Source organism: Homo sapiens, chromosome 1 (genome assembly GCF_000001405.40).
Source record: "Homo sapiens chromosome 1, GRCh38.p14 Primary Assembly".
NCBI classification, from domain to species: Eukaryota; Metazoa; Chordata; class Mammalia; order Primates; family Hominidae; genus Homo; species Homo sapiens.
The window spans coordinates 199,033,276-199,056,280 of NC_000001.11; the positions used below are offsets into that span (position 1 = coordinate 199,033,276).

The 23,005-nt window shown below is 34.5% G+C and overlaps 1 long non-coding RNA gene across 1 annotated transcript in view; it reads left to right on the forward strand.

The window, feature by feature from the left end:
- The window catches only part of LINC01221 (long intergenic non-protein coding RNA 1221), a 60,603-nt gene that overhangs the window by 17,143 nt on the left and 20,455 nt on the right, over window positions 1–23,005 (forward strand). The window contains exon 2 of the long non-coding RNA NR_126351.1: window positions 8,281–8,397. This is a non-coding gene — a long non-coding RNA (long intergenic non-protein coding RNA 1221). The remainder of the gene's footprint in view (window positions 1–8,280; window positions 8,398–23,005) is intronic.

Sequence of the window (23,005 nt, forward strand, 5' to 3'; positions counted from 1 at the left end):
AAAGAGACATTGGTTTTTTGGCAATAATATGTCTCTAAAATGTGATTTGACTTCATAAAATACTAATTCAGTCTTAAATTGCATCAGTGAACAGGAGGCATTCGGATTGAGACAGGCTTTTGTTGCATTTTGTTCTGCAATGATCAGAGCACTTCTTTAATGGCCCATCCAGTGCTGGGCAGCACCTTAACAAACTAAAGAACATTAGTCATAGGACCACCTGAGTGAAAATCTGGAAATCATGACAGAAATAGAATATGTGTTAAAACTGACATTGAGATTTTTTCACCTAGAGGGAGTAAGCATTTTATTTATGTGTGTGTTTGTTTATTTGTTTGATACAACACAATAGTAAACAGCCATGAAGAAAAAGAGTGATTTATTTGTAATCATGTTCAGTTCTGTCTGAAGTGGTCTGAATTTTCTGTAATAAACAGAGTCTGGTAAAGCTGAATTTTCTTTCTGATTAAAAACAGCATTAATCCTCTTTGCTTTTGTTAATCTAAAATGATCCAGTGCCTTTTTTTTCAAAAACCACAAAGAGTTGCATTTCTTTGTTTAGTACCTAAATATGTTACCCATTGAGCCAAAAGATATGACCCCCAGAAGCACTTTTATTCTTTCTACTGTTTGGCTGTATATGCAATCTGTGGTGAATGTTTGAATGTTTCTCAGTTAACCCTGCCTGGGTGTCTATAGATTTAAGAGTTACCCCATTATAGTCACAGGCCTGTGTTAAATCTGTTAAATAATTTTATTTCAAAGCATAATTTATTTTATTAATAAGTAATATATTATTTATACATGATGTCAGTAAGTAGCTCAAAAAAGACACTAAAAATAAAGTGGGAATTTTATCTTATTTTCTTTAAGTGTCTTTTGTTCACAAGGAGAATCATTTTAGGTCTTTTATAAAAATATTAGTTGGAAATATTTTATTAGTTAAAACTTTCAAAGACTAATGAGTTGACATAAGAAAAGTTTTTATCCACCTTTCCTAAGTGAAGTATTGAAATTGAAATTGAAAGTATTATTATGAACCACGCAGGAAGCCAATATTTTTAATGTTATCATGTTGAAATAAGACTAATAACTCACACTGATTTTCATCAGTGAAATAAGAGGATAGTTGAGTTCATTTGAAAAGCAAAGTATAAATATTGATGAATGCCTTTTGACTCTGTCATCTAAACTTCAACTTTAATGATAATATTATATGCACTGTCCACTACTTTATATTTGTAACATGGACAATATATCTAATGGAGCATTTAGGTATAAAAATATAATTTTTAAATTTTTATATAATTCAACCAAATCTCTCTTTAAAGACCCTATGTGATTCAAATCAGAAGATGTAATAGTCATCAATTTTGAGTAAGTTTAGGAAATAAAGGTTTAAACTCAGTCATTTCAGATTTTCCTTAAACCTCTTCTCCCTTGAATGCGTCTAATTTAGGGATAGTGAGTCCTAAAGTTGTTGAGAGATGGGTGAGAGAACACTGAGTCCTCGGTCACCAAATGTCTGTCGGTGTCCACAGGGTGTATCACTCTCTGCTGGCCCTTTCTGCCTCCACGGAGTTGTCCAAGTTGCCATCAGTCCACACATTCTCTGTTTTCTCAGCCTAATTTCTCTCTCCCTACTTTCTCACACCTTTAAAAGGAGAAGTCATTTTGAGATGCTCTGCAAAATGCGCACTCTGCAAAATGAGAGACCAGGGAGCTGGATCAGGTTTCGTCTGGATTCAGTATGCTGATATTTCATGTCAACTATTACCATGGTTCAGGATTATCTAAAACTTTTCTCTCTTCCCTTTCATAAAATGGCAAGGTCTTTTCTGCTTAGAATTCCTTAGCTCTCTCCTGGTATTCTACCATTCATCTCCTGGAGCTGATGCCTCAGCTCTTTCAAGAGACCCTCACCTGAGTCTGACTTTCTTGCTTTCTTTTCCCATTCTCTTTCTCTCCAAGTTTTCAGAGGTGGTTTTTCCTTTATCCTTTTTAAAATTTTAATCTCATCTCCATTTAGAGCAGAGGAAAATGCTTTGCACTTTTCCAGCTCTTCTCTCTTAATCCTTGGACAGTCATATTTTCATAAAGCCAATAGTTTTCTGACATCATGATTTTCTGGCTCTGTCATACCTCTCCTTTGAGGCAATGGGAGCCTCAAGCCCTGTAGTAGCAAAGGAGTGAGGAAGGGGAGCACCAATGGGTTGAAAGACAATGTGTGTGCATGTTGCAGGGGTAGATAGGATGGGTGGGTAGCGAAGCCTGCTTAATATTTTGTAATATTGTTCTGTTATGAGTGCTTCATCATGCTTATTGGTTTATTAGAGAAAATCAAATGCCTACGTGGAAAGAGAAACAGGTGTCTCTCACTGGAATGTAGCTTCCTGAGGTCAGGGACGTGCTTTGTTTTCTTCTATAACTTTAAAGCCATGCCTGGCACATAGCAGAAGCACTATAAATAAATCCAGGATTAATGGGTTGAAGGAATGCCCATTACATATCTAGATTGAAAGTGTTCTTAGGTTCAGCACTGTGCTTCAGAGTGGGCCTGAAAAGAAATTAAATGAATGAAAGCTCAATCTTAAAACAGGACTAAAGCTTTGATAATTTCAAAATGAGGAATAGGTCCATTTTTAGACTGCACCTTTGAAGTGTTAGATATCTCAAGTGGGTCATTTTATGGTTGAACTCTCTGACAAATGTCTAAAATGTGACTACTGTGTTGAAGAATAGAGATTAATGTACTGTAGGCCACATTCCCTGCTGGTTCGCTGCAAATGGGTCTATGAGTGCCATGTATTGATCTTCTCAGCGCTGTGGGTGGCAAGAGCCCCTTGGCTACCACCTTTATCTGACAGAAGCCTCCTCCTTTTTCTCAATTTGTCATCTAAATGCATGGAGCAAGCAGGGTTGAGTCTAATGTAAAAAGTCTGACCTATATTCAAGCTAATTCCTTCTAGCCTCAGCTTTTCTCTAAATGATAAATTATCAAGTATATAAATTGACTGCCACATAGGTAACATTCACTAATATCGGTCGTTATTTTTACTTTATATGTGGAAAGGCTGATTCTGAGCAATGCTGCATGTTACTTGCATGTTAGGTATGAAGTATATGTCAACTTAAGCAGCAAAGACTTTCTCCTCATTTTAAAATATTAATTATTGCAACAAAAGCAGTAGCTTTGTTAAGCTACTTGCTAGAGCCTGAAAATGAATCTATGCTATCGGTGTATAGATGAATATTTCACTTTATATTCTTTTAGTCCATTTCATCTAATACAATAGCTACATCGAATAAATTGGAATTAAAATAAGACCTAGGATAATATATTATTTTACACTCTTTTAAATTGAAATTTATTTGTTCTTAACTGTTGTTATGCACTCTAATTTTGGTAGTATGTTGTGGCATATGCTTTAGGAAAATATTAATGACCTGGGATCTAAAATTAAATGGATGATTTGTATCAAAGGCAGTTCCAAACTATGAGCTAATACATTTAGTGAGAGATTACTAAGGACTTAAAAAATTCCTTGCTTATTCCTTTTCTCCATTAGGTTTCAATAGTTTATATATGCATAAAATTCTCTCTCTCTCTCTCTCTGTCTCTTTAAAATAGAGATGGGATCTCACTCTGTTGCCCAGGTTGGAGTGTAGTGGTGTGATCACAGCTCACTGCAACCTTGAACTCCTGGACTCAAGCAATCATTCTGCTTCAGCCTCCTTAGTAGCTGGGACTACAGGTGCACACCACCATATGCAATTAATTTTTTAAGCTTTTTGTAGAGACAGGAATCTGACTATGTTGCCCAGGCTGGTCTCGAACTTTGGGCTCAAGTGATTTTCCTACCTCTGCCTCCCAAACTACCTGAATTACAACTGTGATCCACCATTCCCGGCCCCATTTATCTCATAGTTTGGTAGAATGAGAATCCTGGGCAACAATTTGTTTGAAAGCTGATAGCTGTATTTGAGAAATTGCAAAAGAAGGCTATAATTTGGATTTCTATTTTGAAAGATGGCATAAACAATACTAGGAGTTCATTCTGGGAGAATATTATCTAAAGATATAATTAAGAAAATAATTTTGCATGAAAAAAGAAGGTCATTAAATAATAATATTTAAATAATTTGTAAAGTTAGAGATCTTTTCTTGGTGTTATCTTTACCTTTAAGAAAGAAATGTGTTATATAATAGGGTAGTATAACTGGATCTGAATTTTTTTTAAAATCCACAATTTGGATAAATTTTTGTAGGACCCAAGTGGAATAAATTGTTTAGTAATCGGTAGATTTCTGCTTAATGATTATCCTTGCAGAAGTCTAATGATATTTACAATTTCTACATTTATAGTTGCTCTTGCTGGCTGAATAAAATGTCATTTGTTGAGACTCACTGTTATCTTCCCCCTAAATTATTTGGACTTTCTAAATTTTAAAATTAATGTTTATTCATTATTTAAAATCAAAATTCCATCAGAATTTTAACTCACTTATTTTTAGCACTATTCTTTTTCTTCTTGGCTATCTTTAAAAAACAGAGACTAAGTGACATTTAATTGTCCAAAAATGAAATAGTCAAGCCTGTTTGATACCTTTCTATAATTGATTAGGGCTAAATAAACAAAGAGGCAATATTTTCCTGCACTCTATTTGGTCAGCATAGTATAAAATTTTTTTTAGACATCAAAGGATTATTTTTATTAAATTCGAAGCCTGCCTAAACCACATAATTCCTTGGTTTTACCTCCAAATCATTTATATTGTACAAATCACTCAGGGCAGCAATAGCGAGTGATAAATAGTATAAATTTAAAAAGAAATGACTTCCAATCCATTCTAAAATATTTGCCTAGAGAATAGGTATAAGTAAGATAAGGGACTAATTTTAAATAATAATGCTGGTCCCTTCATTAGAGAAATAAATTAAATTGTCTTTAGATTTCCCACAGGCTGCCATTTACCATTATCCAGTTTTGATAATGAGTTTGAGCAGGTATTTTTCTCTTTGATTCAAACTGATCTTCTAGTGAAAGAGCCCAAAGGGAAGTAATCTTCTTCAATTCAAATTTCCTATGCCAGGACCACTGACAACCCTGGCAACTGCAACCACTAAAGTCATTAAGTCGGATAATGGCTATTTACGTAAAGTTCACACAATTGTTAAATTGATTCCAGATGTCTAAATAATCTGCATGCACATTAGCAGGAAGTATATCAAATATATACGTGTGTGTTCTATATACATTAACCTACCACCTGTCAGTTACATGAGAGTAGATAGCCCAGAAGTAATAAAGCCTTACCACATGTAAATTGTAGCTCTGAAGGCTACCTTCACTTACATGAGCTCAAATCCATATAGCTAACTCACCTTTACTTTTATCAAAATTGCTTTGAATTAAGGATGGGAGAAGAACCTTGGATACGGACACATTAGTTACATTAAAATCAAGTCTGTTGTGAACCTAAGGTAAAAGCTGAGAGGAAGGTTTAAAAGCAGGTATTTTCTTTCCATTATGCATTCCAAGAAAGGATTCTAGTTGTTGGGAATCTATCGTAATGCTCTTGCTGAAGGTTCCTCAAGTATAACTCGGGGTCTATGTCCCTACTGCTCTTTGGAAGAGAACAGAATTCTTTTAAAGATGTGGTCTACAGCATAAAGTATTATGTATTAGAAATATTGATTCATGTTTGTGAGTTCCCCTCCACAACTCTAATGAACAGATTATCCTAGATGTAAGATGATCTTTCAGTCCTGGTAGGGCTCTACAGTTGCCCTGAAATTACAGCTGTCTTAGGGAGAAATTTTCTTAATTGCTTTAATGTAAAATTATTTATATGTATTTATTTATTTTCTACTTAGAATATTTTAGTTTATTTTTTGCCTTAGGGAAATTTTAAAATCACAATAATGTCTAATGTTCATAAATAGAGATTTTTAGATGTGATGCACTCAAGAATTTCCTAGGCGCTGTCTTTAAGGTTAACATACCTATCTGGGGCTAGCATGGTTTAGGGTCTTGAAGGACTGCAATAGCACTAGTAAAAGGAGGAAAAGAAGATGTACTCTTTTGGACAGAGGAATTTTTTTTCTATCTTCTGTTCAAAGAATAAAAGCAAATATGAAGGCATATAAAATATTTGGAAAACACACTCTAAATTTGGTGTATTCAATAAAGTATAAAAAGGATAAAATAATAAAAGCTGTTTTGCCGAAGGTAATATGAGTATCTTGTAGCTCTTCTCTTAAAGAAGTGATTCTGAAATGTTTTAGCATTTACTTTATCAGAATAATAAACTCATCAGATGAATGCCCCTGCACCCACTTCATATATAACTGACCACTGCCTAAAGCCATGGACTTCCTAGCAGAAATCTCTCCCTGATGTTCTATCTCCTATCCCAAACCATTTCACAGTTTAGACAGGCAACTGAGGCAACTACACACAGATGTGATATATACCTCAAAAGTTTTGTAAGAAACTTTTATGGAGTTTCAGATGAGGGGAAGGCTTTGTCCTGTTGGAAGAATCTGAGAGTTCCATGCTGGAAATTTCATTTCAATTTGAACCAAGGAATGGACTACACTGGATCTCAATAGGAACAAGCTGGTTGAGCATATTCCAGACAAAGGACTAATGTGATCAAAAGATCAGAGAAAATAAATCTCTGACATGACTGGTGACCAGGTCAATTCATCAAACAGGTGGGTCAAGAAATAATGCCATTTGAAAAAAAAAAAACGTTAGAAAGTTGGTTGGGATTGCATTATAGATACCCCTGCATATCAGATTACATTTTGAAAGATTTTTGCTCTTCATAAAGGAAACTGTGGCAAATATTCAAAGAAATTTGTGATCTTATTAGAGCTGCATTAAGAAGATTAATATGATTAAATTCATAGGATGGAACAAGAAGAGAAACTAGAGGTGGGCAGAGAGAGGCAAAAGCCCAAACTAGGGTGGGGACATTGAGAATGGAAAGGAAGTGACATATTGTGAAAGAAAAAACACAATTTGTGGTTACTTAAATGTACAGAAAAACAGCATAAGCAGATTCTTAATCAACAATTTGCCAATATTTGTTTTACATATTAATAGAGCCGAAGGGTGTTTTCATAGTTTTAGGAGGTGCTTCAAGAGATCTGTGCCATATCCTTCTCTGGAATGTTCACAGTGTTAACACATCAAAGTCTATGAGAACACCTGTGTAAAGATACCAACTTAACTTTATTTCAGCAAGAAATTATCCAATTTATTCCAGTAGATATTGGCATGTCTGTAGTTGTATGTGGAACACCTATTCACAGTCTAAAAACCTAGTATTCTTTAGTACACACTTTCTGGTGCTTAGAGCAATAACAAACATTAGCTGTCAGTTCTGCCTTTTGTTGAGACAGAGCCATACTTTCTTGTCATTTTTATTCCACACATGTCATTGCTTATCAGTGTGTGCTTATTGAGGGGAGGGGTAATTTTGAGCCATAACATAATTTATGTTATTGAATCATCAAATATTTTGAACTAGAAAATGTTCTAATCTAGCATCACTCAGTTAAAACTCTATTTGAAAATATCTTGGAAACATATAACAGAATGAAAACCATAAGAACAAAGACCATAAATCCAGAAAATAAAAATGAATGAAAAGATCAAGATATAATATACAAATGACAGTTAAACTTTTATAATTCCTTAATTTATGAAAAATAATTCAAATACATTTAGTATTTTACAAATGAGCAGGTAAAATAATTATGATTTTTAAAGGCTATATTAAGATATTATTTCTTTATAAGAAATGTAGACATAATACTTATAATTTGTTTCTGCAGTTAATAATTAACATGGGTCTTTTTTTAGATGAAAAATCTTGAACATGTAAAGAAAAGTCTTGACATTATTTATTGTATTAGAATAAAGTACTAGAATTCTCTCATTCCTTATTAAAAAATTAAGCCTATGTTACCATGTTTGTCAATCTCATTTGATTTTCTATTCTTAGGTCTAAAGTTTCTAATAACAATTTAATGCATTTATCAGTAAAACACATGCTTAGAATCCAAATGTATTAAAATTTTTGCTAAAGTAAGCAAAATAGACAAATAATGAAATGTTTTTACTTTGATTTTTAGAAAAAAGGTAAAGAATTTTATTCTCTAAGAGAGCAAAACAAATTATCTTATGGTGACACTAAGACAGAAAAGAGTTTGTTTTCATTTCTGGTATTCTTTGCCAATGTTTGACAGTTGAATTTTTTTTCCAGATGAGAATTGTGCATCAATGTTCAAGTCCCAAGAGACGTTATCAGTCTGAACAGCCCAGTGAACAAGTATTTGTGACTCTCCTTCCAAATGAAATGTTCTACAGAAAGGTGGAAGTGGTAAGAAACCGTTGAAACAGTGGTTAAGAAGGTAGGTCTTTGTGGTACTGATGGGAAATAGTCGTTAGGGGAAAGCTGCTTCACCACACAGGAAACAGAAAAACTCTTGAATGCATCTTGTCCAGCTGTGGCAGAAGAATTTACATAGATAACATTTTAAAACCAGAGAGTTTGTACTCAACTGGTGACCAAGAAACGGAGAGATGAAGGGCTGCAGGCAGAGAGTAGAAGGGAAATATTTTAAAGTTACAAGACTTACAAGCTGTGCATTTTGCAAATCACATAGCTACTTATCTTCTCAGAAAAGATGTTTAAAATAGAGACCTACACTTTATCATATTGAAAACCAAGCAATCTCAATGAAGGTTTTTAAAAAAATGTTTACCAAACCAAAAGAAACTCAAGGAAGCATTTTATAAGCTAACAGAGCTATTATTGAATGCCTTAAAATGGAAATATTTTTATTGTCTAATTATAGATATTGAAAAAGGTAGTAAGTATAAATATTCATAATAAATATTAAAATAGTAACAACAAAGTTTGCCACTTTTTCTCACTTAAGAGGAACTGATTTGGTTTTGTGATTTCACTTAATTATAATGAAAATTCTATAAGCTCAGAACTGCCATCCACATATTATAGATGAGCAAACAGACTCACAAAGATTGAGGCTTTTGACCAAGCTCCTAGGGCTTAGGCTTTGAACTCAGATGTGATGGAGTCTGAAGCTTGTGCTTGTTAAACATTATTGTGCAACTCCCATCATAATAATTTGAACAGTAACAAAAATAAGTACATTCTGTGTTTGGTTCGTTCTCTCTTTTTTTAAGTTATTTTATTCTTCTTCCAGCATGTCATATATATTATTCTCCATATAAGGAAATATAAGAATATATTCATCCTTATATAAAATGTTGGAAATGCTCTCTTGGAAAGGTTTCTTTGTGGCTTCTGGTTTTGTTCATTACTTTGCTTTTAATGATCATTATTATTATTCTTTCACAATATTGTAACATACTACCAGAGTCATTTTATTGTAAACACTTTGAAAAACATACTTCAACAATAATATTGTGGCTATAACTCAAATTCTCACCCACACGGAAAAATTGTGTGTTTTTGCTATAAAATATACGTGGTAAAAAGAAGTGTGAAGTAGAAAATGACAACAAAGTTGCAATAAATTCATTAAAAGCATAATTCATTGGTCTTTCATTCTATTCTATTCATCTAGTGAATTTATCAGATTTTAAGTGGTTTCTTAAAGCACTTAAAGTAATTTCTTCAAGCAATCTAGATACTATTACTGGGGAAAAACATCTCAAAGGCAAACACTCTTAGTATATCAATCGCTAACTTGAGACCATGTCACATAAAATAGTTGATGTGCATATTCTTTACTTCTTTTTGCCTATTTCATGGGATCGCGTTTGCTAGGTACCCAGTCTAGCAAGAAAGCCCAGTTGACATTTCACCTTCTAATCAATATCTAAGCAAACATTTTGAACACTATCTTCTTTCTTCTCCTTCTTTCCCCGGTCTAAGTACTTCAGGCAGGTGCTATCTGATTTGTACGTGTTTTAGCCATCATTATACCTTTCATTTACATGAAGCCTAGTTCATTTCACATCTGAGGCCTCTTCCAGTTCACATAACTCTCCCAATTACTTCTTGAAAATATGAAGAGTCAATCTCTCTTTCCTTTTTTAAAGTACTTAGAAAACTTCTTCATTTCCTAAATGTTTGGGTGTCATGTTCTAATTGAATTTTCATCAGGCTACAAGATAATTTAAAATGCTACTTTACTGATTTTCTATTTAGGTTAAATACTACTTTCTAATAACATATTTCTGTGTGCTTTACAAGCATGCACAATTCATGCATGATGCTTGTTTAGTCTCTCCCAGAGCTAAGGCAGGCCAAAGAATGATTTAGATATATCCTCTGGGAGACAAACTTTTATGTAGCAGGATGGCTATATTGTAAACATTTAAGACTTGTCTGAAACTCTCTACAACGTCCATATTCACATTGTCACACTGTCCTTTAATACAGCTCTTTTGGATTTTTAAATATAGTAGATTCCTAGGATTAAAGCAATTAAAATGGGAGCAACCACTTGTAGGAATCTAGTCCAATCCTCTTATTTTATAGCTAAGGAAAGTAAGACTCAGCACCATAAACGTATTGAAGATTGGCTCAAGGATCAGGTTGTTTTCTGATTTCCAATATTGTGTACTTATTCTAGTATAATTACTAGCAATTGATTTTTACTCAGTAAGACATTAGGCCCAGGGTCCCAGACCAGATAAAAAAAATAAATGATCAAAATAGCTTGAACCATTTTGGCCTAAATATTTCTGGTTTAGAGAAAAATATGGTATCAATGGATTTTATGAGGCCTGAGATGCAATATTTGAATGTCCTCATGATCACTGATTCACTCACTTTTAGATTTTGAATGTCATTTTAATGGCTTTTAAAGATGATCATATTATTTTGGTCCAGTTGGATCATTAAGGCATTTTTTTCTAAAGTAAACCACATAAAATCACTAAAATGGAATAAATCTAAGTTACAAGGAGGACTAAGACACAACCATGAATGAGTAAATCTAAATTCTATGATTAATGACTTTGAGGACCTTGTACTTGACTTCTGTAACAGCATTTAACAAATCCTTTCATCAGAATCATTTCTCATGCTGTACTTTAAATGAAGTTCTTTGTCTGGTCTAGAGCAAGCTGGAGAAGAGCTGGCAAAGAGCCTTTGGTCACATATTTCAAATTCGTTAAGCATCTTTAATCTTCCCCTTGTAGATAAAATCTCTTCAACCAAATCTCCTAACTTGGTTCAGATAGTTCATAGTTCATAGTTTCTGAATCCCCAGTGTGCTCTGCTTTCTAACCCTGCCTTGCAGTTTCTTCTATACCTTTCATTAAATCCATGATGAAATTTAAAACACACAAGCAGAATGATGTAGGCTATAAGCATTAAGGAAGTTAAGGAAGTTGATTCGCCATTTGTGTTTTCATACTGTTTCTTTGCATTCCTACATCTACATAGATAGATGTTTTATCTTTCACTATATTATTTACTTATCTCTATCTTGATACACTTTGAATAAATAACTAGCCTCCACCCACCAATTTTAGTTGATTTCTTGTTAAATTAAAATTAAAATGGCATACATGCACATTTATGTACACACACACACACTCATACATAACACATACACACAAAATCTTCTGATCGCTGATCACCTTCGATACTTACTCTATTCATACCTATACGTCACAATTTTTGTACTATACCCTTTAAGACATACATTCTTGGTCCCGATGTGTGTTCTGGAAAGACGTTTTGAATTTGCTATTTTTCACTGGCTTTATAAACAACAGGTTGAGAATAGTGACATTGGAGTAGTTAAGCTCTAATATGGTGGAAATGAGTAGTTCTTACAGACTGAATAGGGGAAAATAGCAGAGGACAAAGAGAATTTTATTCAGATTTTTAAAAAAATAAGTTCTAGAATTTAAAAAAGAAATCAAATATGTTAAAAATAGAAGAGCAAATTGGAGAAAGACTAAAAAAGAATAAGAAGGAAATGCAAATTTAAAGAAGTGCAAGTCTGTTAGGCAAAATGTAAGAATATTGGGAAAAAATAAGTTAAGCAGACTGATTATTTTGGCAGCACAAAATAAAATATCAGTATCTATCTATATATCCATATATATAAAAGAGAGGAAAGAACAAACCACAAGTCTGAAATATTATTATACTAAGAAATAATAAAGTATCATCATTGCTGCTATTTCCCTTATCTTTGGTCATATTAAATATGACCAAAATAATTTTCTACAAATTGAACCTGATATTATTGTATTACTCAAGTTAATGTATAATGCATTCTACACTTTTCTCCACTTTTACAAAATACTTATATTGCATTATTGCTCAGTCAGTTTATTGGATAATGTTGATCACTGTAGACATCTTTAAAAGTGCAGGACATGGGGAAGGGGGAACAAGATGGCTGATTAGATGCAGCCAGGAGGCACTGCTCCCACTCAGAGAGACCAAATTATCAAGTAAACCACCATAATTCGGGAATGTCTTCAGAAAGAAAATGCCGAACTCAATGAAGAGGTGATGCTGAAGCTGAGACTGAACAGGGAGGAAGCTGGGAACCCCATGCAGGGTACCTGAATGCTAGAGCTAGCTCCTGAACCTGAATGGTTCCTGGGAAAGAAGTGAATGAAGGATGACTCACACTTGTCATGAACCTCTGGGATCCTTGCTACAGGGGACCCCACATCCCCCATGGACTTATGAATTGTCTGGAGGATCTTCCTAGGGAGCAGGCAGAGACAAGCCTTCAGACAGCATGGAGCCTGGGAGCGTTTGTTCACTGGGCAGCTCCAGCAGAGAGCAGCCATAGATGGCCACGCTCCAGGGATCTCTATGCACCTCCGGGAGGCACTGGCCTTAGCTGACCTCTGAGCTAAGAGAGAGCAGGGCTGGTTTCCCTGTGGGACTAGAGCACGTGTATTCCATAAGCCCTCCTGCCCACTGGCCTCTCCTGCCCACTGGCCCCCATAGGGTCCATGCCTAACTGTTCTGCAGAAAAAAGTTCACAGTGAGGCCTCTGCAGTCCAGTCTGAGTGCATTGTTCCACAAGAATACTTTCCTGGTAACCCAAGAGCACATCAGATCCCTCAGCACAACTAGAACCCAACTCTGAGCCATGGGATACCCCCAGGGATGCAGCACACAGCTGGGGAGAATGAGCCAAGCTCTGTAGCCTGCACCTGAGCAGGGAAGGAGCCCCCATCTTAAAAGCACTGCAACAGGTGAGATGCACAGGTTCTTGGGCCAGGGTGGAAGTGGGGTGAGCTTCCTTCTGAAGGACCATTCCAGAAAGGCTGTGGCATATCTCCCTGCTGTAGCCTTTCCTTAAGGGAGCCCCACGGCCCAGAGCACCTAACAAAAGAAATGTGGACATGGTGCCATTGATTGAAAGGGGCTCCCCAGTGGGCCATGAGCAGACCTGGTGAGGGAGTAGTGTATCTCCCCTCAACCACAGAGCATGTCTGCAAACTGAGTGAAGTACATAAAGTGGTACAGTTTGGTATTAGCCTACCTATAAGCCATTACTCTTAAGCACCATCTACTGCATCACAGCCCAAACTACAACAACAAAAATTATCCTGCTAATAACATATATGCCTGTGAAAACAAGCACAACAATTCACCCATACATAAAGATCCTATGCAGAGCCCTGACCCTCAGAAAGCATCCAGAAATGAAGCCAAGTGACTATACTCAACTTATATCATAGTTAAATGAACACCAACCCTCCAAAATGAGAAAGAATCAGCACAATAATTCTGCTAATTCATAAGGCCAGTATGTCCGCTTACCTCCAAACGAGTCCACTAGCTCCCCAACAATGGTTCTTAACCAGCCTGAAATGACAGACATAGAATTCAGAATCTGGATGGCAAGGACACTCATCAAGTTTCAGGAGAATACTGAAATCCAATCCAGTGAATTCAAGGAATCCAGTAAAATAATCCCAGAGCAACAGTCATTCTAAGAAAAAAAAAAAAACAAAACTGAAATTCTAGAAAAATTCACTACAAGAATTTCATAATACAATTAGATGTATTAAGAACAGAAAAGACTAAGCTGAGGAAAGAATCTCAGAGCTTGAAGGCTGGTTCTTTAAGTTAACTCAGACCAAAAAAAAAAGATAAGAAAAAGAAGTTTTAAGGAATGAACAAAACCTCCAAGAAATATGGGATTATATAAAGAGACAAAATCTATGACTCCTTTCTATTCCTGAGAGAGAATAAGCAATTTGGGAAATATATTTGAGGATATAGTCCATTAAAAGTTTCCTAATCTCACTAGAGAGGTTGGCATGCAAATAAATATAGAAAACCCCAGCTAGATACAATGTAAGACTACCATCCCCAAGGAACATAGTCATTAGATTCATCAAGATCAACACAAATGAAAAAATCTTAAAGTCAACCAGAGAGAAGGTCAAATCACATCCAGAGGGAACTTTATGAGGTTAGCAGCAAACTTCTCAGCAGAAACCTTATAAACCAGAAGAGATTGAGGGCCTATTTTCAGCATTGTTAGAAAAAAAAATTCCAATCAAAAATTTCATATCCTACCAAACCAAGCTTCATAAGTGAAGGAGAAATAAAATCCTTTTCAGATAAGCAAACACTGAGGGAATTTGTTTCAAAGAAACCAGACTTACAACAGGTCCTTAGAGAGTGCTAAACATGGAATGAAAAAAACACCTGCTACCACAAAACACACCTAAGCAGATAGCCCACAGGCACTTTAAAGCAACTGCACAACCAGCTAACAGGATCAAAAATCACACATATCAATGCTAACCTTGAATTAAGTGGGGTCAAACACTCCATTTAAAAGACATAAAGTGGCAAGCTGAATGGAAAGACAAGACCCAACCATCTGTTGTCTTCAAGAGACCCATCTCATATATAATGACACTCATTGGCTCAAAGGGTTGAGAAAGATCTACCATGCAAACAGAAAAGAAAAAAGAGAAGAAGTCACTATTTTTATATAAGAAAAAATAGACTTTAAGCCAATAAAAATGTAGAAGGACCATGAAGGACATTACACAATGATAAAGGGTATAATTCAACAAGACTTAACCATTCTAAATATATATGCACCCAACACTGGAGGACTCAGACTCATAAAATAAGTTCTTGTCCTGTGAAAAGACTTAGACAACCACATAATAATAGTAGGAGAATTCAATAACCCACTGACAGCATTACATAATCAAGGTAGAAAACTAACAAAGAAACTATGGATTTAAACATGACACTTGACCAACTGGACAAAATAGGCATCTACAGAACATGTCACCCAACAACCACAGAATATACATTATTCTCATCTGCACACAGAATGTATTCTAAGATTGACAACATGCTTCATCATATTGAGCAAGTCTCAATAAATTTAAAAAAATGAAGTCACACCAAGCAAACCCTCAGACCACAGTGCAATATAAATAGAAATCAATATCAAGATCTCTCAAAACAACACAAATATATAGAGATTAAACAACATGCTCCTGAATAACTTCTGGGTGAACATCAAAGTTAAAGCAGAAATTTTTAAAATCTTTGAAATTAAAGAAAACAGGGACACAATTTACCAAAATCTCTGGAATGCAGTTAATGCAGTATTAAGAGGAGTATTTATTGCCCTAAACATCTTCATAAAGAAGTTAGAAAGATCTCAAATTAACAATCAAATGTTGAACCTAATGGATCTGGAAAAAAAAAATAAAACCAATCCTAAAGCTAGCAGAAGAAAAGAAATAACTATAATTAGAGAAGAACTTAACAAAATTAAGTACAAATATTAATGCAGAAGATCAATGAAACCAAGAACTGGTTCTTCAAAGCAAATAAACAAGATTAATAGACTGCTAGCCAGATTAACAGAGAAAAAAGGAGGATTCAAATAAGTAAAATCAGAAATGACAAAGATGACATTACAATTGTTCCTAAAGAAATACAAAAGATTCCCTAGACAATAGTATAAACAACTCTATGCGCACAAATTAGAAAATCTAGAGGAAATGGATAAATTCCTAGAAAAAACACAATCTTCCAAGATTGAATCAGGAAGATATTGAAAATATGAATAAACCAATAACAAGCTCTAAAAATGAATCAGTAATAAAAACCCAGCAACCAAAAAAAGCCCTAGACCAGACGGATTCATAGCCGAATTCCACTAGACATATAAAGAAGAACTGGTACTGATCCTACTGAAACTATTCCAAAAAATTGAGGAGGAGGCACTTCTTCCTAATTTATTCTAGGAAGACAGCATTACCCTAACACCAAAATCTGGCAGAGACATGACCAAAAAAAAAAAAAAAAAAAAAAATCAGGCCAATATCCCTGATGAACATAGATGCAAATATCCTCATCAAAATACTAGCAAACCAAATCTAGCAGCACATCAAAAAGATAATTCACCCCAATTAAGTAAGCTTTATTCCTGGGATGCAAGGTTGGTTCAACATATGCAAATCAGTAAGTGTGATTCACCACATAAACACAACTAAGAGAAAAAAACCATATGATCATCTCAATAGATACAGAAAAAGTTTTTGATAAAATCCAACATCCCTTTAAGAGACTAGGCATCAAAGCAACATACTTCAAAATAATAAGAGCCACAAGTGACAAACCCACAGCCAGTATAAATACTGAACGGGCAAAAGCTAGGACCATTATCCTTGAGAACCTGAACAACACAAGAGGACCACTCTCACCTCTCCTATTCAACATACTACTGGAATTCCTAGACAGAGTAATCAGGCAAGAGAAAGAAAGAAAAGGCATCCAAATAGAAAGACAGGAAATCAAACTATCTCTTTGCTGACAATATTATTCCATATTTCAAAAACTCTAAAGACTCCATCAAAAGGCTACTAGGGCAATAAATGATTTTAAAAAGGATCAAGATGCAAAAGCAGTGTATAAATGTCAGTAGCATTTCTATACACCAATAATGTCCAGGCTGTTAGTCAAATCAAGAACCCAATTCCATTTATAGTAGCCACAAGAAAAAATATAAAATACTCAGGAATACAGATAACTAAGGAGGTGAAAGATGTCTACAAGGAGACTACAAAACATTGCTGAAAGAAATCAGAGACAACACAAATAAATGGAAAACATTCCATGCTCATCGAAAGGGAAAATCAATTGTTAAAATAGCCATACTGCCCAAAACAATTTATAGATTCAACACTATTGATATAAAACTACCAATGTCATTATTCACAGAATTATAGGAAACTATTCTGAAATTTGTATGGAACTAAAAAAAAAATCCCAAATAGCCAAAGTAATCCTTATCAAAAAAGAACAAACCCAGCAGCATCATTCTCTGACTTAAAACTATACTTTCAAGGATACAGTAACCAAAACAGCATGGTAGTGGTACAAAAATATACACACAGACCACAGAACAGAATAGAAAACTCATTAATAATAAATAAAGCCGCGCACCTACAACCGTTACAAAGGCTGACAAAAACAAGCAATGGAGAAAGGACTTCCTGTTCAATAAATGGTGCTTGGATAACTGGCTAGCCATATGCACAACAATGAAACTCTACCTTTACCTTTCACCGTATACCAAAATTAATGCAAGATGAAATAAAGATTTAAGTATAAGACCTCAAACTATAAAACCCCTAGAAGAAAACCTAGGAAATACCCTTTTCAACATCAGCCTTGGCAAAGGATTTTTGGCTAAGTCCCCAAAAGCAATTGCAACTAAGACAAAAATTGACAAGTGAACATAATTAAATGAAATAGCTTCTCTACAGCAAAGAAACCATCAACAGAGTAAACAGACAACCTACAGAATGGGGGAAAATTTAAAAAAAAAGAATGGGGGAAAATATCTACAAACTGTGCATCCAACAAAGGTCTAATATCCAGAATCTATAAGGAACTTAAACACATCAACAAGCAAAAAACGACCTGATTTTTAAAATGGGAAAAGATCATGAACAGACACTTCTCAAAAAAAACACATACGAGTGGCCAACAAATAGGAAAAAATGCTCATGATCATCAGAGAAATACGAATCAAAATCACAATTAAATAAATATCAACTCACACCAGTCAGAATGGCTATTATCAGAAAGTCAAAAAACAACATATACTGACAAGGCTGTGGAGAAAAGGGAACACTCTGACCCAGCAATACCATCTCTGGGTATATAGGTCATTAAACCCAAAAGATCTTCATCATGGCACTATTCACAATAGCAAAGACAACAAACTCAAACTAGGTGCCCATCAATAGTGGACTGGATTAAAAAATATACATACACACTATGGAATATTGCATAGCAATAAAAAGGAAAGAAATCATGCCCTTTGCAGCAACATGGATGGACCTGCAAGCCATAATCCTAAGTGAATTAATGCAGGAACAGAAAATCAATGTTCTCACATTGTTAGTGGGAGCTAAACATTAAGGCCACAGGAACATACACATGGGAACAATTGACACTGCAGACTACTAGGGGGAGAAGTAGGGAGGCGGCATGGGAGGAAAAGCTACCTATCAGGTGTTATGCTCATTACCTGGGTGCAGTATACCCATGTAACAAATCTGCATATGCGTATTTAATCTAAAATAAAAGTTGAAATTGTTAAAAAAGAGAGGAAAAAAAAAACAAGTACATAACATTTCAGAACTCTGGATTACCATATAACAACTATTAGGATTAAACAAAGATCACATTCAAAAGAACACCCAGAATACTTATCAAAAGAGATATATCAAATTGTTTTTAAATCGCTTCTTTAGCTTGCCCTACGAACACCTTATTCTCTGTGAAAAGTATTTTAAGTGTTTAATACTTGAGATGTGTAAAAGTATATAAATTAACTTTTCCATTCCATTTATTTGATCAATTGGCTCTTTTCTTGGAATCTGAATGACAATGATGATAATGAAGAGATTATCTGAAATAGTCACTTCCTTTCTAAAGTTGAGGCTGAACTAGTCTTGAAACTTGTCCACTGGACTAAAATTTTAAGTTTTGACTAAGTTTTTATTTTCAATTTTTATTTATTATAATCTAATTTTAGAAAAGAATTTGCAAATGGACTATCCTACCTATTTGCTCTCATTTGCAGAAAATATTGATCTCTGTTTCCCTGCCAACCCATGGTTATTTTACAAGTATTTAATAGGAAAGTTGATTTTAAATCAAACAAAATGCCAGGCATGGTGGCTCATGCCTGTAATCCCAGCATTTTGGGGGGCTGAGGCAGGTGAATCACGAGCTCAGAAGTTGAAGACGAGCCTGGCCAAGAGGGTGAAACCCCGTCTCTACTAAAAATACAAAAAATTAGCCATGTGTGTTGGCAGGCACCTGTAATCCCAGCATTTTGGGAGGCTGAGACAGAGAATTGCTTGAACTCGGGAGGTGGAGGTTACAGTGAACTGAGATCGCGCCACTGCACTCCAGCCTGGGCGACACAGCAATCTCAAGAAAACAAAAACAAAAACAAACAAACAAACAAAAAACACTGCATAAGATTCCTATTATTTGAGTTGATTGATTTTAACTTATGCAGCAGAGCAGCTTAGTAGAAGGTACAGTCTTTACCTACCCAGAAGACTGTAGTTGGTATCCAAACTCAGCCACTTATCACCTCTCAGAAGTTAGAGAACTTTATGAACATCACTGAAGATCTGTCTTTTAAGTTTTGAAAATGAAGTTAAAGTACTAAATATAAAATAATTTGGCTGATTAGCTGAGCATGGTGGCACATGCCTGTGGTCCCAGCTATGTAGGAGGCTGAGGCAGGAGGATTGCCTCAGCTGAAGAGTTTGAGGTTACAGTAAGCTATGATTGCACCATTGCATTCCAGCCTAGACATCAGAGTGAGACCCTGTCTCTAAATAATAATAATAATAATTAAAATACATAAAATAAGGCCAGCACAGTGGTTTATGCCTGTAATCCTAGCACTTTGGGAGGCTGAGGTGGGAGGATCACTTGAGGGCAGGAGTCTGAGACCAGTATGGGCAACATAGTAAGACCTCATTTCTACAAAAAAAAAAAAAAAAAAAATTAATTAGCCCAGTGTGGTATTAGGCACCTGTAGTCCTAGGTACTCAGGAAGATGAGGTGACAGGATCCTTTGAGCCCAGGAGTTTGATCTACAGTGTGTTATGATCACACTGCCGTACTCCAGCCTGGGTGACAGAGCAAGACCCAGTCAAATATATTTATATCTCCAGTTAAATAAGAACATCTATGCAATTTATCTGGTAGTTCTAAAAGATCAATAAACAATTGCCACTATAAGTAAAAACACATTTTTATAGCAGCATATAGTAGCATAAGTATACACATTTGTTTCTTTTAACTCACTTGTCTTACTAACATTTATTAAAAACTTTTATTTTTGCAATGTTATATTATTAAAGTCCTAAATCTGTCTCTCTTTTACATTTAGTTAGGGTTTGCATGCTATTCCATGATTGAGTTACATTTTGAATGGGGCAAACTCTTCACGTAATTTTAGCATATTAATTCCATAAATTGTTAACATTTGTAAAAAAGGTATTTTAAATTAAAATGTCATTTCAAATAAGACCCTTTCTATTCCAAACATTGTACAGCATTTGTTCATAATGTTTCCATTTATTGTAAATAACCTTTTAGGTTCCAGTGAGATATGAACAAATCTTTATCTACTGGTAGAGATAGAAAATATAATTTTGCTTTTGAGAGGAGATACACCATGTGGTCTGAGACTGTAGTAACTAATTTTGAGTCTACTACATCCCAGAATACACAAATAAATACACTGTAAGTAGATTTCTATCAATAAGTCAACAGATATGATTCTAACTGATGAGGTCCAGTATAAATCATAAATATCTCTTAGGCATTTTAATGTAAATTGTGCTTATGCTGCTGTTATTGCTTTTGGTGATGATGATCATGATGCTACTTCAAATTTTCCAGTTTGTTAAGCTACAGGGGCAAAAAGAAATACATAATGAGTTTTCTCTAAATAGATTGCCATACTAAATTCAATTTTCATTTGTTAGCCAAAGCATTCAAAATTACATTTTTGGTAACATAAGATGAGAGCACTGAGCTACAAGGAATTCTGTACTTAGAGACATATACTGTAAGAAAGAGTGCCATTGCAGGTACGTCATTAGAAAATAAAATTGATGGATCATCTGCAGGGATGAAGTGAACACTAATGTAAAGTCCTGGAAATCTACTGACATCATTGAAATATGCCACCATAGAGACAAGCACTGAAATAGTATGCTTGGACCAAATCATGCCAGTATTTCTGGTTTATATAGGCCGATAAATGATTTTCAGAGGAGAAAAAGAAAAGGATTTGAAAAAGACATTTTGTTTGTTGCCAAAATATTTAAAGATGAATTGCACAAAGATTGGAACCTAATTTTCAGAAGACCAAATTATAGCATGTGGAGCATTTCCTGAATGCTCAATTCAACCCTTGATAATAACATTAGAAAAGTTTACATCATTCCTAGGATAAGATTAGTCCTCACTAGAGAAACATGTGAATGACAGACTACGCTCTAGTTCATCATTTGGCCAACTGCTGATTCACCAACTGTCACTCCAGCCAGTTCACATGGAGTCTGATGAATGTGCCTTGAGTTATCACAACAGGAACAGCAAGAACAGGCAAGAGCAAAAAACTGAGTCTTTCATAATGGCATCCATTATGAAAATCATTTGATCATTTTAGATAATAGGCATTGAAATAATTTGGGTAACATATATTTAGCCATTCATTATTTTTAATGACATTTCAATCAATGTTCAATGAGAAAACAGTATAAAAGGAGATTGAGCTCACCACACTTAAATTATTCAGCTCAGTGTCTGGTGAATAGCCTATCTTTTTCAGTCAGTTTTCCTACAGAGTTGTCCCCAGAAAGCCTACTCATGTCTAAAAGGATCTTGAAGGTTACTTTTAATTTCCACTGTTGATGAAACTACTTTTGGCAATCAAAGCCTTCCTACAGACAAAAACCCAAAGGCACTCTTGAAGATACAAAAATACTTCATGGCAGTAACTATAAACACTACTGAGCATTTGTATATTTGTGGAGGAATGAGATAATGTGAAAAAGTTAGGTTGGCCTTTGCATACATATGCCTAAGTTAATATTTGCCAAAATTATCTTTATCTATGCAGAAAAATGTATTGTACAGACTTATTATATTTAGAGTGTATTATTAAGTGGTTTGATTATTTTGGGGATATCAAAAATGCACATACAAATAAATTTTAAACACTGTATTCAAATTTCATAGTGTAGTTTCTGCAATATTTACACCAATAAATATATGTGCATATATGTACATATATGCACATATATGTATATATAACATTAAATACATGTGCATATATGTACATATATGTAAATATATGTGTATATATAATATTAAATATATGTACATACATATGTCAATGGGAAAATGCCCAAATATGTATATTTTAGCTAGATTTCTTCAAAGACTTTATAAATATTCTATAGTTGTATTGTGCAAAATGCTTACACAAATAATTAACTCCTTTTTTAAAGGATGAAAATTAGGAATTTAAATGCTCCTGTTAAAAAAATGCAGTAGCATCTTATTTTTGAGCTTTGCTTAGAATGCATTCTCTATCCTTGTCACAAGCTTGGTTACTTGTTGCCTCCTAGATATTAAAATTCAATGAAATATTGTTTAGACATCTCATCATCTAATATTAGAAACATCATCAAGGAATTTTAGTCTTGTATGATTTGTAATAAAAAATACTTTGTAATAATAAAATTAAAGTTTATAACCTAATAATTTTGTAACTTTTAGAGCTTTAAAAATCAATTTTTCTTTCAAAGACAAAATGATTAGGATGGACAAGTTGACTATGTTGTTAATATCAGGAAGGAAAACACCCCAGAGAGCTTCAATTAACCAATTTACAATTAATCAT